At 40.3% G+C, this 18,710-nt stretch overlaps 1 protein-coding gene across 3 annotated transcripts in view; it reads right to left on the bottom strand.

Moving 5' to 3' along the window:
- The window catches only part of CNNM2 (cyclin and CBS domain divalent metal cation transport mediator 2), a 171,929-nt gene that overhangs the window by 149,737 nt on the left and 3,482 nt on the right, over window positions 1–18,710 (bottom strand). Inside the window, exon 2 of one of the 3 annotated variants that reach the window (NM_199077.3) lies at window positions 12,868–13,141. The exons of the other annotated variants lie outside the window; for them this stretch is intronic. Within the exon in view, the coding sequence (NP_951059.1) occupies window positions 13,104–13,141 (38 nt within the window). The 3' untranslated portion in view covers window positions 12,868–13,103. Of the gene's footprint in view, window positions 1–12,867; window positions 13,142–18,710 lie in introns of those variants that run through there. 3 annotated transcript variants of the gene reach the window in all.

Raw genomic sequence — 18,710 nt, 5'->3', positions numbered from 1 at the left:
GATTGCGCCAGTGCACTCCAGCCTGGGTGACAGAGTGAGACTCCATCTCAAAAAATAAATAAATAAAATAAAATAAAACAAAATGTATTTCTGGAGCACCCAAAACATAATAAGCACAAATAAGAGGGGCTAAGGGCTGGCACTGTAGCAGTGGGAATGGAGAGAAAACAAAAAGTAAAAGATGCGTTTTCAAAACAGATCAATTATGTTTGATAACAATATACAGAGGGGAGGCCAGGCGCAGTGGCTCACACCTGTAATCCCAACACCTTGGAAGGCCAAGGCAGGCAGATCACTTGAGGTCAGGAGTTTGAGACCAGCCTGGCCAACATGGTAAAACCCCACATCTACTAAAAATAAAAATTTTTAAAAAAGAAGATACAGAATGGAAAAGAGTATAAATTCATATGTACTTCAAGTTACCTGAGAGCAGGAAATCTGTCTAATTCCTCTTTGGCCGTCTCCTACATGGCGGTTTTTTTTTTGTTGTTGTTGTTGTTGTTGTTTGTTTGTTTTTTGAGATGGAGACTCACCCTGTCGCCCAGGCTGGAGTGCAGTGGCGCGATCTCAGATCACTGCAGCCTCCACCTCCCGGATTCAAGCGATTCTCCTGCCTCAGCCTCCCGAGTAGCTGGGATTACAGGTGTGCGCCACGCCCAGCTGATTTTTGTATTTTTAGTAGAGACGGTGTTTCACCATGTTGGTCATGCTGATCTTGAACTCCTGACCTCAGGTGATTCGTCCATACCAAAGTGCTGGGATTACAGGCGTGAGCCACTGCGCCTGGCCGCCAGTTCTTTATTATGATGCTAAATACATGCTTATGGATTAAAGATGAGTCAAAGAAAGTCTTCTCAAGATGGAAAAAGAACATGGAAGGAGACATAAGGACAAAATCTTGGGGACTGCTCAATTAGAAATGGAAGGGAAAATCAAGAACCTAAAAAGAAAAAGGAAGCAGTCAGAGAAACAGCAGGAGCCAACCTGAAGAGTGGTCCTCACCTACAGCTAAAAACAGTAAAGGGGCCAAGCAAGAGAGGAAAGGTAACAACCAAGATGTAGATGTGGCAATAAAAGAAGTCATGGGTTGTAACTGTTTGAAACAAGATTGTAGAGGATTAAAGATGGCAAGGAAAAGGAAGTAACTAGCTATTCTTGAAGAAATCTTGCAGTAAAAAGAGAAAGGAAAAATAGACAGCTAATGATCCCCTAAGACATAGAACTCTGCCAGAAATTAGCCTCTGATCCTGCACTGAAGCTAAGTAAGCCTTAAGGAAATATTTACAACCTTCAACCTGGCTGGGATCCTCAAACAACTAGGCAGGTTGAATGAATACAGGAAAGATCCTACCTACACCATGTCTGAAAAAGGCAACAAATCTTCGAATTTGCTACTCATACCTGGTTTGGTAAGTGGCTTTGGGAGGTCACAGATAAAGTAATAACTGCTGACTTTTTGGATATTTAGGTAATGTGAGATAAATCAGCTTAAATCAACTAAGGGCCTTTGTCTGCTTGTTTATTTTAGTCTCCATAACTCCTATTAGAGGCTCTCCTCAAATATTCAGAGATCTATCGCTGTCCATTCATATTTCAGAGGAAAGCATTAAAATGCTGGCTGGAAGTTCTGTGTCAACTGATGATCTTCACTCTACAGTAATCAGGTCAAAACGCTGGTATATTTTTAATATCAAGGAACTCAGTAAAAATTAAATTTAACTGTCTAATAGGCATAGGACTATTTAAGAGCAATGCCATCTGTAAGTAAAGGAAACATCGATTTCTCTCCCTAAAATGTTTAATTTTTTTAGAAAGTTGGCTAAAGGAGTAGAGGCGTTGTCTTTTTTTTTTTTTTTTTTTTTTTTTGAGACAGGGTCTCACTCTGTCACCCAGGCAGGAGTGCAGTGGCGCAATCCCATCTAACTGCAGCCTCTACTTCCCAGGCTCAAGCAATCCCCCTACTTCAGCCTCCTGAGTAGCCAGCATGACAGGTGTGTGCCACCATGCTCAGCTAATTTTTTCTTTTTTTTTTTCCATTTTTTGAGACAGAGCGTTGCTCTGTCACCCAGGCTGGAGTGCAGTGGCACAATCTTGGCTCACTGCAAGCGCCGCCTCCTGGGTTCAAGCAATTCCCCTGCCTCAGCCTCTCGAGTAGCTGGGATTACAGGTGCCCACCACCATGCCCAGCTAATTTTTGTATTTTTTTTTTTTTAGAAGAGATGGGGTTTCACCATGTTGGCCAGGCTGGTCTCGAACTCCTGATCTTGAGCAATCCACCTGCCTCGGCCTCCCAGAGTGCTGGGATTACAGGTACGTGCCACCGCACCCGGCCTAATTTTTTAATTTTTTTGTAGAGATGAGGTCTCACTATGTTGCCCAGGCTGGTCTCAAACTCCTGGGCTCAAGCCATCCTCCCAACTGGGCCTCCCAAAGTGCTTGGATTATAGGCGTGAGTCACTGCGCCCCACACATTGTCATTATTTTATGTCATTTTAACAGACTTTAGTAAAGGCACCTAAATGATAGCTAACTTATCCTATAGTTAAATTAAACGTTTCTGGGGTTGGGTGCAGTGGCTCATGCCTATACTCCCAACACTTTGGGAAGCCAAGGTGGGAGGATTGTTTGAGCCCAATAGTTTGAGACCAGCCTGGGCAACATAGGGAGAGCCTGTCTCTACCAAAAAAAGAAAAAAAAAAGGTTTCTGTATACATCCAGAAAAAGAACGAAAGAAAATCACATCTGTTTATCTGTCTGAGAATATGTACGTTTTAGGAGTATAATCAAACCAAATATTTGATCTTGTCTTGATCAAAGCTAAAAGGTCTTTTTATTTTAGCAAAATGTGTAAGATATACATTTTGTAGGCTTAATAGTCTGGAAACTATTAACTGAGCTTCAAGCACAGGTGGTTCAGAACACTCCTTTTATCTTTTTGTCTCCTTTTAATAATCAAGACTAGATTTACAGTGATTATTTATTTAGACAAAAGGAAGCACCAGTTTCCAAAACCATCATGTCCCCAAATAAGAGGTATCTTGGGATTATAGCTTTATGTTAAAAGTACAGATCTAGTTGGAACTCAACTACTTAACAAAACATTTTTTTTTTTTTGAGATGGGGTCTCGCTATTTTGCCCAGGCTGGGCTTGAACTTGCTATCTTCCTACCTCAGCCTCAAGAGTAGCTGGGATCATGGGGCACATGCCACCCTGCTGGCTTTCACCAAACTTTTATTTAATCAGGGCTATCATGTAAGTATAAAAAAGTTTCATTCCAGGCAGACTACATACAAATCTAAACAAACTGGATTTTTGTCACCTATTAACATGTTTTGAAAACAAATGTAACCCAAAAGCCTAAATTCCCTTATTTCTCACACAAAATGAATCTTACTAAGATGTCACGTGTGTACTCACACACATTACGGGCTTTAAAATACTACTCATCTTTCACCCCAAACAGTAAGAATCACAATGAGGAGGAAAAAATGGCATAAATGACAGCACAGCTGCACTATAGATAAAATATTCCACATTCTCCAAGAAAAAATACCTGTGAGTTTCATCTAAATACATTTCAATTCTGTACCTCAATGAGTGGTTCAGGTTACAAAACTTGCACTTTATTTTGATGGATTTGGTTTCCCCCAAACATTACAAAATACATGCTTTAAACAGAAAAACTTGGAGCAACACAGAAAAACATACTTCCTCCCCTAAACCCACCACATCAAAAGATAGTCACTGTTGGTTAATATTTTGGTAAATGTTCTTCTAGTTGTTGCAGGTTAATGTATGTATATATGAACAAGCAAATAAAAACATAAAAGAGCAAAACTAAGCAGAAGATGGTCCACAAAATATGATTAAAAGAGTATTTTAGCCAATTGACTTGTTTCCAGCAGAATCTCACCCCTCTCCACACCCAATCTCCCCCACCCCCATTGCACCAAAAAAAAAAAAAAAAGCAAAGAGTTTCATTTTGTCTCTTCTGTTTACCTGGAACCCCAAACCCTCAAGGATCAGACTGATGATAGCAAGATGAAAAGCAATGACTAAAAGGTAGGGTTTTTTCTCTGCTTAGTTATCAACTCTACAGAGATGAAATTATTCCTGCCAAACCTTACATCAAGGAGGTACACTAGTGACTAAAGGAAATAATCTTGAAAGAGATAAGAAAGCATGCTATCTTGTTCTAGTTGTTTTTAGTTTTAATTTTACCTCTGAAGACCTGCTCAAATATTTCCATCTCTTGAATGATTCTGAGGACTGTCTAAACCCAAACGCCACTCCGCAGAGGCTCCGAGTTGAGTCAGCACATTGTTTCTATGATTGCAGATGGGCAAATGGAAAAACTGAGGCTTTGCACACTCCCATAAAGATCAGATGATGCCCTCAATCTGTCTTTGCTAGCATGGGAAAACATTCTCCCTCTCAGATTACCAGCCCCCTACCCCCACAGCACCAAAAAAAAAACCAAAAAAACAAACAAAAAAAAACACCATAGAGTTTCATTTTGTCTCTTCTGGTCACCTGGAACCCAAAAACCTCAAGGATTATAGTGCTAGGCCGGGCGTGGCATTTCATATCGTAATCCCAACACTTTAGGAGTCCAAGGTGGAAGGACTGCTTGAGGCCAGGAGTTAAAGACCAGCCTGGGCAACATAGCGACACTTTGCCTTCTACAAAAAAAAAAAAAAAAAAAAAAAAGCCAGGTGCAGTGGAGTGTGCCTGTGATCACAGCTATTTGGCAGGCTGAGGCGGGAGGATCACTTGAGCGCTGCTAGTCAACCAGGGCTGCAGTGAGCTGTGATTGTGTCACTGCACTCCATCCTGGGCAATAGAGCAAGACCCTGTCTCAAAAAAAAAAAAAAAAAAATTTTTTTTTAAAGGACCATACTGCTCATAGCAGTAAGAAATGCAGAGTAACAGAAGTCAGGGTTTCTTCTAGTCTTTGCAAATAAAACCAAAGAAGACCCTTGATAAATTGATGTGGAGAAGAAAGATACTACAAAAGTTTTTTTTGAGATGAGGTCTCCTCTGTTGCTCAGACTGGATTGCAGAGGTGTGATCACAGCTCACTGTAGCCTTGACCTCCTGGCTCAAGTGATCCTCCCACCTCAACCCCCCAAGTAGCTAAGACCACAGGTGTGCACCACCACACCCATTTTCTTTTTATTTTCTGTAGAGGCAGGGTCTCCCAATATTGTCTAGGCTGGTCTTGAATTCCTGGACTCAAGCAATCCTCCCACCTCCCAAAGTTAGCGCTAGGATTACAGGCCACCATGTCTGGCCCAAAGTCTTTTTTTTTTTTTTTTTTTTTTTTGAGATGGAGTCTCGCTCTGTCGCCCAGGCTGGAATGCAATGGCGCGGTCTCGGCTCACTGCAACCTCCACCTCCTGGGTTCAAGCAATTCTCCTGCCTTAGCCTCCCAAGTAGCTGGGATTACAGGTGCCCGCCACCATGCCCAGCTAATTTTTGTATTTTTGGTAGAGTCGGGGTTTCACCATCTTGGTCAGGCTGGTCTCGAACTCCTGACCTCAGGTGATTGGCCCTCCTCAGCCTCCCAAAGTGCTGGGATTACAGGCATGAGCCACCATGCCCAGCCCAAAATCATTTTTAAACTTTTTATTTTTAGATACAGGAGTCTTACTCTGTCACCTGGCTGGTGTACAGTGACACAATCATAGCTTGCTCACTGCAGCCTTGAACTCCCAGGCACAAGTGATCCTCCCACCTCAGCCTCCCAAGTAGCCAGGACTACAGGTGCGTGCCACAACACCTGGTTTACGAAAACATTTAGATATTAGCTAGTCTTTCTGTGCTTATCTCCAATCCCAAGTCCCTAGACTGATAAAAAGCCACTCTAAATAGTAGAAAGAAATAGATTTGGCCGGTGGCTCAGGCTGGGCGCGGTGGCTCATGCCTGTAATCCCAGCACTTTGGGAGGCCGAGGTGGGTGGATCATTTGAGGTCAGAAGTTCAAGACCAGCCTCGCCAACATGGTGAAACCTCACCTCTACTAAAAATACAAAAATTAGCCAGGTGTGGTGGCAGGCGCCTGTAGTCCCAGCTACTTGGGAGGCTGAGGCAGGAGAATCGCTTGAACCCAGGAGGCAGAGTTTGCAGTGAGCAGAGATCGCACCACAGCACTTGCACTCCAGCCTGGGCGACAGAGCAAGGCTCTGTCTCAAAAAAAAAAAAAGAAAGAAAGAAAGAAAGAAATAGACTTGCTTTTAAACTCCTAAGCTCCAGCCAGGCATATTTTTTGTCTTGACTGACATTTTATACAACCTATTTCTTCTTTTCCTATCTAATCTGGGACAGAAAACTTACTCTTTTATGGCAGGCATGGTGACTCATCCGTAATCCCAGTGTTTTGGGAGGCTGAGGCAGTAGGATTGCTTAAGGCCAGGAGTTCAAGATCAGCCTGGGCAACATAGCCAGACTCTGTCTCTCCAAAAAAAAAAAAAAAAAGTTAAAATAAGCTGGGCACAGTGGCAGGAACCTATAGTCCTAGCTACTTGGGAGGCTGAGGTGGAAGGATCGCTTGTGCCCAGGGTTTGAGGCTGCAGTGAGTTATGACTGTACCACTGCAATCTGGCCTGGGCAATGGAGGGAGACCCTGTCACAAATACAAACAAAAACACAGAAGTGCCTGATGGTGTATATCTTCCCAATTCCATATCCGTTTCTTCCTGGACTAATACTTGATTTTGTGTCAGACAGTTAATACGTATTTATGTGCTAATGAGACCCTGTCTTAAAAAAAAATTTAGTCTTTCCTATCAAATTTCCTAAATGACTGTCAATAACCAATTGTGGATATTTCAATATCTACATATAAAAGTGGCAAGTAAAAATCCCTACATTTTTTAAAAAAACAAAATCCACTACAAGCAAATTAAAGAAGTAAATGTAAGATAACCTCAACAAACTCATGTTTTTTAAAAGCATTTTTCTATCTTAAGAACCATTTGTCACCTAACAAGTTCTGCAAGGTTGCAGGATAGAAGATCAACATACAAAAATCACTTGTATATCTATATACAAGCAATGAACAATCTGAAGATAACATTAATAAAACAATTCCATTTATAATAGCATCAAAAAATAAAATACTTAGGAATAAGTTTAACAAAAGGATTGCAAGCACACTGAAAACTACAAAACGTTGTTGAAGGAAATTAAAGAGGACCTAAATAAATGATATGACATCCCCGTTCATGGATGGAAGACTTTGTACTGTTAACATTGCAATACTCCTAAATTGATCTACAGATGCAATGCCCCTATGTAAATTCCAACTGCCTTTTTTTGCAGAAATGGGCAAGTTGATCCCTGAAAAATTCACATGGAAATGCAAGGAATCCTGACAGCCAAAACAATCTTGACAAGGAAGAATGAAGTTGGAGGATTCAAACTTTCTAATTTCAAAACTTATTACAAAGCTGCAGTAATCAAAACAGTGTAGTACTGACATAAAATTAAAGATCAGTGGAACAGATCTTAAGGTTCAGAAGTAAACTCTCAAATGTATGGCCAATTTTTTTTTTTTTTTTTTTTTTGAGACAGAGTCTTGCTCTGTCACCCAGCCTGGAGTGCAGTGGTGCAATCTCAGCTCATTGCAACCTTGACCTCTTGGGTTAAAGCGATTCTCCTGCCTCAGCCTCCTCATCAGCTGGGACTACAGGCATGCACCACCACGCTGGCTAATTTTTGTATTTTTAGTAGAGACGGGGTTTCACCATGTTGGCCAGGCTGGTCTTGAACTCCTGACCTCAAGTGATCCACCTGCCTCAGCCTCCCAAGGTTCCGGGATTACAGGCGTGAGCCACCGTGCCTGGTTACCAATTGATTTTTGACAAGTATGTCAAGACAATTCAATGGAGAAAGAATAGTATTTTCAACAGACAGTACTGGGACAACTGAATAGCCACATGCAAAACAATAAAGTTGGACCCATCCCTCACACCATATATAAAAACTCAAAATGGATTAATGACTTAAATGAAAGAGCTAAAACTATAAAACTCTTAGAAGAAAACATAGGCATAAATCTTTGTGACCTTGGATTAGGCAATGGTTTCTTAGCTATGACACCAAAAGCATAAGCAACAAAAGAAAAAAAATAGAGCTGGTTGCAGTGGCTCACACCTGTAATCCCAGCACTTTGGGAGGCCAAGGCTGGAGGATCGGTTGAGGCCAGGAATTCAAGACCACCCTAGGCACATAGCAAAACCCCGTTGCTCAAAAAATGAGTTAAAAAAAAAAAGGAAAAAAAGACAAGTTGGACTCAATCAAAATTAAAACCTTTTTCTGCTTCAAAGGTCACTACCAAGAAAGTAAAAAGACGACATATAGCATGGGAGAAAAATATTTGCAAATCATATATCTGACAAGTGACTAGTATCCAGAATATAAAAAGAACTCTTACAACTCAACAATAAAAAGACAAATAACCCAAGTTAAAAATGGGCAAAAGAACTGCATAGACATTTCTCCAAAGTTATAGAAATGGCCAGTAAGCACGTGAAGAGATGCCCAACTTCATTAGTCATTAAGGAAATGCAAATCAAAACCACGATGAGATACCACTTCTCACTAGGATGGCATTCTTTTTTTTTTTTTTTTTTTTAACAATAACAAGTGCTGGTGAGGATGCTGGAGAAATTAGAACCTTCATACATTATTCATGGGAATGTCAAATGGTGCAGCCACTTTGAAAAACAGTTTGGCAGTTTCTCAAAAAGTTAATAGAATTACCATATGATCCAGCAATTCTATTCCCGTGTATATATCCAAGAGAATTAGAAATAAATGTCCATGGCCGGGCGCTGTGACTCACGCCTGGAATCCCAGCACTTTGGGAGGCCAAGGCGGATGGATCACCTGAGGAAGAAAATTCAAGACCAGCCTGACCAACATGGAGAAACCCCGTCTCTACTAAAAATACAAAATTAGCCGGCCGTGGTGGTGCGTGCCTGTAATCCCAGCTACCTGGGAGGCTGAGGCAGGAGAATCACTTGAACCCGGGAAGGCGGAGGTTGCGGTGAGGTGAGATCGCACCATTGCACTACAGCCTGGGCAACAAGAGTGAAACTGTCTCGAAAAAAAAAAAAAAAAAAGAAAGAAGGAAATACATGTCCACACTCTTAACACTAAAAGATTAACATCTGGCCTAACAGAAGGGCTTCTGAGACCCTGCTCCAGCTCTATGGCCAACTTGCAATAGGTTGGTTTTCTGTGCCTTTAGTATTGCTCATTATTTAAAACATCCTTCATGAAGACATACCAAGCAGGGGCACTGAGGCAGAAGCCCAGTACAGACCAATGGAAGGAAGGTAGTTGTGACTCACACACTTTTAAGTTGCTCAGAACTCACCCCAATAACATGCCCAAACTAAATCACAGTCCTACTCTATGAGACCACTGAACTATCTTCAGACTAGAATGGGATTTGTCAAGAATGCAACATGCACACCAATGTTCATAGAATCATTATTAATAGGCAAAAAGTGGAAACAATCGAAATGCCCATCAACTGATGAGTGGATAAACAACATGTGGTATATCTATAAAACTGAATATTTGGCCGTAAAAAGGAATGAAATACTGATACATGCTACAACATGGATGAACCTTGAAAACATGTTAAATGAAAGAAGCCAGCCACAAAAGGCCACATTTCATTTACATGTTATATGAAATGTCCAGAATAAGCTAATCCATACAGACAGTAAATTAGTTGCCAGTGACTAGGGGGAACAGAAAATGAGAAGTGACTGCAAAGAGGTATGGAGTTTCTTTCGGGGTGATGAAAATGTTCTGTAAGTAGACAGTAGTAATGACTGCACAACCTTGTGAACATACCAAAAAGCATCAAATCACATACTTTAAAAGGGTGAGTTTTAAGATATGTGAATTATATCTCAATTTTTAAAATTTTAAAAAAGAACCAACTGTTTCAGCAGTAAAATGTTCCTCAAGAGAAATGGAATGAGTTCCTTAATACGAGCAATGGTTAGTTTTCACAAGATCAGGATTCATAATGTTCTTAGCAGATTTGAATTTTTTCCAGGTATATCATGTACAAAGTTAACAAGGAGATTTTCACAAAGACTGGCTATGATCACCCCACCCTAATACATCAACTATTTTCATTTTTTCCACGTTACCTTCCAGTGTATACATATATATATTTTTTTGCATGTCTATATTCCGTGCAAATAATCAGTGCAAATTTTCCCATATTGCTATGTGGCTTTCAAGATTATCACTGAATGGTTGGAAATAGTTCACATTTATAATTTTCTTAACTCTTTCTCCTCCACTCCTTGCCTTGAAGTGTTAGATATTTACTTCCAATTTTTCACTGTTTCTAGATAACGCTGCAACACACATACAACATAAAAAGCTAACATAGCTCTTTTCTTCTCTTGGATCACTGAATTAAGATTTCCAGGGGAAAAAAATACTAAATCATTTTTATGACACCCAGTTGCCTTCCAAAATCATTATAAATTTACACTGCTATAAGCAATACAAACTTGCTATATTAGGCATTACCATTTTTTATACTTTTTATGCAATCAGTGTTAAAATATTTTATCTTTTTTGATCTTCCTTTAGTCTTAAAAGTCTTTGGTTATTCAAGGGCTTCCAAAATCCACAAGCACTTGCTTTTAAAATGCATGCCAATGTTCACAGCAGCATTATTCATAATAACCAATCATAATGGCCAAAAAGTGGAAACTGTCTAAATGTCTATCAACGGATGAGCGGATAAACAACTCAAAAGACTTGTTGTCTTTTTCAGTTGTTTATGATTAAAGAGAATGAAGAATTATTTTAAAACACAGTATTCTTACTCTAAGGAAAGTAGAACCTATAATAAATTGTTCTGTTTTCCTTAAAAATATATATGCATGTAGTCACCTTGTCAACTGCTAGGAAAATAACAAAGCTTAGGATTCAATCACAACAAAAAGGAAAAGAAAAAACCTACAATAACTAGTCACTTTTTTTTTTTTTTTTTAAAAAAGACATGCTCTTGCTCTGTCACCCAGGCTGGAATGCAGTAGTACAATCACAGCTCATTGCAGCCTCAAACTCCTAGATTCAAGCAATCCTTCTGCCTCAGCTTTCCTAAAAGCTTCCTAAAGTGCTGGGATTACAGACATGAGCCACTGCACCCAGCCTAGCCACTCTTTTTTTTCTTGTTTTGAGACAGAGTCTCGCTCTGTCGCACAGGCGGAGTACAGTGGCATGATCTCGGCTCACTGCAACCTCAGCCCCCTGGGTTCAAGCAATTCTCCCACCTCAGCCTCCTAAGTAGCTGGGACTACAGGCACATGCCACCACGCCCGGCTAATTTTTGTATTTTTAGTGGAGACTGGGTTTCACCATGTTGGCCATGCTGGTCTTGAACTCCTGACCTCAAGTGATCCACCCACCTAGGCCTCCCAAAGTGCTGGGATTACAGGCATGAGCCACCACGCCCAGCGAGCCTAGCCACTTTTAGATTTCAACACCAATAATAATTATAAGGACACACGCTAAAATGTCTCTCTTGACTATCAGGCTCCAGTCAAGAGAATGACCAAGAACAATTGCTATGGTTTGAATGCGTCCTCTCAAAATTTCATGTTGACACTTAATCCCCACAGTAGTGATATTAAGAGGTGGGGCCTTTGGGGGAAGTGATTAAGCCATGGGGACTCTGAACCAGCGCCTCATACAAGTGCTGGAGGGAACTAGCTTAGGCCCTTTTCACCTTCCATTTCTCTGCTATGTGAGGATGCCATATGAAGGCTCTCACCAGACGCCAGTGCCAGTGTCTTGATCTTGGACTTCCCAGCCTCTAGAACTGAGAAATAAATTTCTTTTTTTTTTTTTTTTTGAGACAGAGTTTCACTCTTGTTGCCCAGGCTGGAGTGCAGTGGCGCAATCCCGGCTCACTGCAACCTCCACCTCATGGGTTCAAGAGATTCTCCTCCCTCAGCCTCCTGAGTAGCTGGAATTACAGGCGCCCACCACCACAGCTGGCTAATTTTTTGTGTTTTTAGTAGAGACAGGGTTTCATCATGTTGGCCAGGCTGGTGATCTTACCTCAGGTGATCCACCCGCCTCGGCCTCCCAAAGTGCAGGGATTACAAGCATGAGCCACAATGCCCGGCCACCTTCTATTATTTTTAAGTTACCCAGTCTGTGGTATTTTGTTACAGCAGCACAAACAGACTAAGATAACAACCAAGAGCCTACAGAAAGAATTGTTATAATAAAAATACTGGTTAAGCACAAAGTGCCAGGTACTGTTAGAAACATTTATATATTTATTAGTACAATAATTCTTACTAAGTACCATATGAGTTAGAAAATATCCCCATTTTACTTTGAAAAAAACTTAGGGTTAAAGAGGATAAGTTACTTGTCCAAAACAGATCCAGGAAGAGCACATTGTTCTTAACCTTTGCATTAACAGATGCTATCCTCCCCACAGCATGTGAATTCAAAAAGAAGCACTCCCACCTCCGAATGACAGCAAGGGAGGGTTAAATAGGATGACACGAAGATCTCACCGTCCATTACAGCAGTGTTTATGTTCAGTCATAGCACTAATGTAACACAGGGAGAGGGTTTGGCATCCCCATTATCCATCAACATCTAAGCTAGACCACAAACCTCTAGTTCCTCCTTCGAAAGCCTGCCACCACCCCCTCCTTTTTTTTTGAGACAGAGTCTCACTTTGTCGTCCAGTGACGTGATCTCAGCTCACGGCAACCTCCGCCACCTAAGTTCAAGTGATTCTCCTGTCTCAGCCTCCCAAGAAGCTGGGAATTCAAGCACCCACCACCACGCACAGCTAATTTTTCTGTATTTTTATTAGAAACGGGGTTTCACCATGGTGGCCAGACTGTCAGTCTGGAACTCCTGACCTCAAGTGATCCACCTCCCTGGGCCTCCCAAAGTGCCGGGATTACAGGCATGAGCCACCACGCCCAGCCAACTGCCACCCCTTTTTATCCCTCTGTATAGACATCCTAGAGTTGCCAATGTCTGTGATGTTGAAAGAAAGAATGCTTCTTATTGTCTCTTCTTTTCAGTGTTGGTATGATTTGGGTTTCTTGTTTGTGTGTTCTGAGAAAAACAAAAAGAGATGAAAAGACAATACTTTAAAAAACTGTATTCAATCCTAGTGATCCACTTCCACATGTTTGAGTTTAATAGTACTCTTTATATGTCAAGCAAATCTTAATGAATTGAAAGTTTACTGTCAATAACATATACATACACACATATATATATATTTAGAGAAAAGGGCTCATTTGAAAAATATATACCACTTTATAAGTAACTACGCATCTAATTACACTCTACAGGTTTGCTCTTAAAAGTTTATGTAAGGCTGGGTGTGGTGGCTCACGCTTGTAAACATAAAATTTTATATTGAAAATAAAAGCAGGGGTCAGGCATGGTGTCTCATGCTTGTAATCCCAGCACTTCAGGAGGCCGAGGAAGGCAGATCACTTGAGCCCAGGAGTTCAAGATCAGCCTGGACAACATGGCATGACCTCGTTTCTACTAAAAATACAAAAAAAATTAGCCGGGCATGGCAGCGGGTGCCTGTAATCCCAGCTTCTCGGGAAGCTGAGGCATGAGAATGGCATGAGCCCAGGAGGTGGAGCTTGCAGTGAGCCGATATCGTGCCACTGCACTCCAGCCTGGGCAACAGTGCGAGACTCCATCTCAAAAAAAAAAAAAAAAAAAAATTAGCTGGGTGTGGTGGCACACGCCTGTGGTCCCAGGTACTCTGGAGGCTGAGATGGGAGGATCACTCGAACCTGGGAGGTCGAGGCTGCAGTGAGCTATGCTAGCTAGCACCACTGCATTCCAGCCTGGGTAACAGAGCAAGACCCTGTTTTGAAAATAAATAAGTAAAAGCAGGAAAACCCACAGAACAGTTCAGTCTGTTTTGTGGGTTTTCTTGGTTGATGATATTTTAAATTGTGTTTAGATTTGCTAATAATTAAAATTAACCAGCCCCTCACAATGGTTAAGAATGCTTCAGGAAAGATAGTGTGTAATCCCCATAAAAACCAAGAGAAAACGCAGACAAGTTCCTTTCCCGCTTCATCCAGCTCCTACTTAGTCAGGGCTGGTATTTAACTAGGGTCTCTCCTCACCTAAATGTCTATGCTCAGACTTCGGTGATCCTAGTAACGCAATAACTTCTACAAATCAGCATGATTCTCTGTGAGAATTTCACTTATATTATTTGTTAAAACTTGGGAGGTGTGTGGTACAGAGGGTACACAAATGCACGAATAGGACATGGGCTTCAAATGCTTTGATGAACATTTCCATGGAAATTTTACAGATCTGTATGTACTGTGAACAGAAATGAAAAGTCAAGGAAGCTTCACCCCCACAGTCCTAACCAAATCCAATCATCATTACTCTCACAGAAGAAATAATCAATGAGAAAACAAATCATTAAAGGATATCCAAAATAAGCTAAGTCAAATAAAACATCTTATATTTAATTACCTGAGGCTTCAAATAACCTAGGTATCAACACTCATTTCCTAAAATACCCTCCTAGTCTAACCACAACAAAGTAAAAAACTCAGTTAAACTAAGATAAAAATAAAACATAAAATTAAATAAAAATGAGCTCACACACTTGGACTTATTTTCTATATAATAAAATGCTTGTCAAAAATTGCTTGAATCCAGGGCATCTAACATATTGACAGGAAAATCACGAGACCAATAAAAACCAACGGTAACACTCACTATTTGTTTTTTCAATGATGCTGCTACCTTCATCTCTGAATAACTTGGGACCAGAAGACCAGCCTGCTGGAGCAGGAAGAACTCCAATCTAGAAGTCAGGGACATGGGATCTAGTTCAGTTGATGCTACTAGCTAGGTAGGTGGCCCTAAATAGGTCATTTACTTTGTTTTTTCTCTTTCTCAGGGTTTACTTTCCTTAATCAAGGGGCTGACTAGACCAGTTTTTCCTAAACTCACCTAACCATAAGAAGTACCCCAGGGAAACTGTAAACGACATGGATTCCAAAAGCTCTTTCCCAATTCAGAGGTCTCTGGGTGAGGCCTAAGACCTTACTCTTATTAAGTGACCCAAGTAAATCTTTTTTTTTTTTTTTTTTTTTTTTTTTTTTGAGATGGAGTTTCGCTCTTGTTGCCCAGGCTGGAATGCAATGGTGCGATCTCAGTTCACCACAGCCTCCGCCTCCCGGGTTCAAGCAATCCTCCTGCCTCAGCCTCCCGAGTAGTTGGGATTACAGGCATGTGCCACCATGCCCGGCTAATTTTGTATTTTCAGCAGAGACAAGGTCTCTCCATGTTGGTCAGGCTGGTCTTGAATTCCCTTCCTCAGGTGATCCACCCGTCTCAGCCTCCCAAAGTGCCTGGATTACAGGCGTGAGCCACCGCACCCAGCCCCAAGTAAATCTTATCATCAGGTAAATCTGGCAAACACTGGACTAGATAATCCTCAAGCTGCCTGCCTTCCAGCTCTGATTCTGTATTATCTGGATATTTCATAATAGTGTTCTAAAAACACACAAAATTACAATCATTTAATGTATGTTACTGCACAAAAATAAATGTACAACATCATGAAAACAAATATATCAGCTCCCGGTGACACCATTCATACCTTTAAACACTAATAAAAACATCTTCTGGCCAGGCATGGTGGCATGCACCTGTAATCCCAGCACCTTGGAAGGCTCAGATGGGAGGATTGCTTGAGGCCAGGAGTTCAAGACCAGGCCTGGGCAACATAGCAAGACCCTAACAAATACGTATAAAATAATTAAAAAAAAAAAAACAACTTCCTAGATTCAAGGCAAATACAACACTTAATTTGGTGAGAAAAAAATGTGTTTAATATTAAGCTCTCAGTATATTAATATGGAGAGATTTGCTGAGTTATAGAAAGAAATTACCTAATATCTTAGGTGAAAACTGTACAGTGCATTCTTTCCTTGAAGAACAACATTATCTGGTGATCCCACCTGTTACTAAGAAAAAGCTAGAAAAGAGGCTGGCTAAGTCCCTAGCAGCTGTAAATAGCATGCTCTGCAATACTGGAATGCAACTGTTATAAAGCTAAAAGAAAAACAATGAAACAGTAACTGGTTACAAATTCTTCAAATGCACCTCAGCATAGACAACTTGGTGGCCCAATCTTTTGTGAGGACGGTTTTGTCAGGTGAATGGAGAGCCTCTAACATGCTTTCCACACACAAAGGTGGCAGCCTTTCATTTTGCTTTTCCTTCCCCTACACTACATTGCTCTAGTTTTTCTAAAATTCTCATAATCCTCTAGCGGTATTTACTGAATTTATTCTCTTATTTAGACTTGTAAGTAACTACAAAACTAACACACACAAAAAAAGAGAAAGGTTCCTTGCATGGAATACAGAGAGCAGAGTTGTGTAAAGGATGCTCATTAGCAACCAGTTATACAGATAGATTCAAAAATGTAAATAAAAACCAAGATTAAAACACAAAACTGAGTTTGACCAATTACTATGTGACCCTTGCAACAGAAACAGATAAGAAACCAATAGTGAAACATGATTACATAATTTAGCTATGGGAAAAACAGCTGTAGAGCAGCCCATGGAAGAAGCACATTAGTACAGCACATTGTTAGTACAAAACTTTCCAAAATGAATCTTGATGCTGGATATGCAAATGCTGTCAACACAATTCTTTAGACTTAGGATCACACAGGCCAAAAAACTGTTTTAATGGCAAAAAAGGGGACACCAGTTGTTATGCACAACACCACAGAAGCACTGGGTTTAAAGCCATATATATGTTTAAACACATTTCTTTTCTATTGCCCAACAGGCTCTGAGGCAGTGTTGAGACAAAAGACTAAACCTCACACTCAGTAAAATAGAAATGTCAAACCAGGATCAAGGAGAGCAGCATAAGAGAGAGGTTAAGAGAGCAGGTTCTGGTGTCACAAAGACCTAAGTTAAAACCCCAAGGCACAAATTACTGTGTGACCTTGAACAAATCATTTCACCCAAGTCAATTTCCTCATTTGTAAAATGGAGATAATACTTCATTCAGCCATTTGAGATTTAAACAAGGTGATTCATATAAAGCCCCAGCCCCTGTACCTGGCACAGAATACATAGGTAAGTAATAATCATCACCATCATCATGATCAAACTGTAAAATCAGCACAATTACTGTCTCAAATAAAGCCAAGAGTTTCCTGGTAGCCAGAGAAAAAAGACAATCACAGTTCGAATCCAGCCTGGGCAACACAGTGAGACCTTGTCTCTTGGGGAAAAAAAAAAGGAAGAAGAAAGAAGACATTCACATATACTAATATAAAGGTGGCTTTTCTTCCCACATTCAGAACATTCTATTTCCTCCTCTTTAATAAAGAACAACTCAGACTAATTCTCTACAGCTATATACAGGAAAGTCTTCAATACAGAAGTTCTTAACTAGGAAGGACAATTTTGTTTCTTTTTTTTTTTTTTTTTTGAGACAGGGTCTTTGTCCCCAAGGCTGTAGTGCAATGGCACCATCTCAGCTCATTGCAATCTCCGCCTCCCAGGCTCAAGGAATCCTCCCACCTCAGGCCTCCCAAGGAGCTGGGACCACAGGCACACACCACCACGCCCAGCTAATTTTTGTATTTTTTGTAGGCACGGGGTGTCACCAGGTAGCCCAGGCTAGTCTCAAACTCTTGGGCTCAAGCCATCTGCCCACCTTGGCCTCCCAAAGTGCTGGGATTACGGGCATGAGCCACCATGCCTAGCCAAAAGGATAATTTTCAATGAGATCTGGATCTATGATCTAACTGGTCTGGGGAGTTACAATTGGTATTGTTGGGGTTGTTTGTTTTGTTTTGGGTTTTCTTTTGTAAATGAGGAATTTAGGAGAGAGGTAGAGGAAGAAAAAGTCTTCAAACCATTTAATACGCCGTTATTCAGTAGAGAAAAATAAAAGGTTGATTGTTAACACTGTCATAATTGATTTAGAAAATGAAGACATGAAAATCAGGTAAAATGTTTTAACTCAGACATAAAAAAAAGAACCAATATAACTGACAGTAAGGTTAAAGTAACCAAACTGATAATAAAAAAAAAATCCAAGAAAGGGAAGGTGAAAAAATCAATTATTCCCATAGTTTAAGTAACAAATATCCATTCTGTCCTTTTAAGATCATGGCTTAAATTTCCCATTTGCAACCAACTATCTTTGCCTGCTCTTCCGAATATGCCACTAGCTTGAATGTATGCCTTTAACTTGGACTATCTTCTTAACCAAATACATCATTCTAGTTAAAGACAAAAATTAAATCTTGTGCATTATTATTTTTCTAGAATTCATAGGGAAATATTAGTAATTCCATCATTTAAAGAATACATTTCAAAAAAATACTGAGTGGTAATTCTGAAGGAAAAACAGCTCCTCATGAAAATAAATCCATCATAGAAAAATTGTTCAAGGTCAATCAAGCACAAATTTCAAAATAATACGAATTTTGAAATTTTGAGTAAGGGCGGCATTAAGGAGCTGTGAGGTGAAAAACTAAATTCTCAAGGTAAAAAGATATAGAAGTGAAGAAAAGACTTCAGCAAGAAGTACAAACTAGTGTTATCAATTCATGAGTAAATGTGCAAAATTCTAAGTAATAAAA

Source organism: Homo sapiens, chromosome 10 (genome assembly GCF_000001405.40).
Source record: "Homo sapiens chromosome 10, GRCh38.p14 Primary Assembly".
In the NCBI taxonomy this organism is placed as follows: domain Eukaryota; kingdom Metazoa; phylum Chordata; class Mammalia; order Primates; family Hominidae; genus Homo; species Homo sapiens.
Note: the sequence above shows the minus strand (reverse complement) of the source record. Positions and strands in the feature narration are given on the sequence as shown.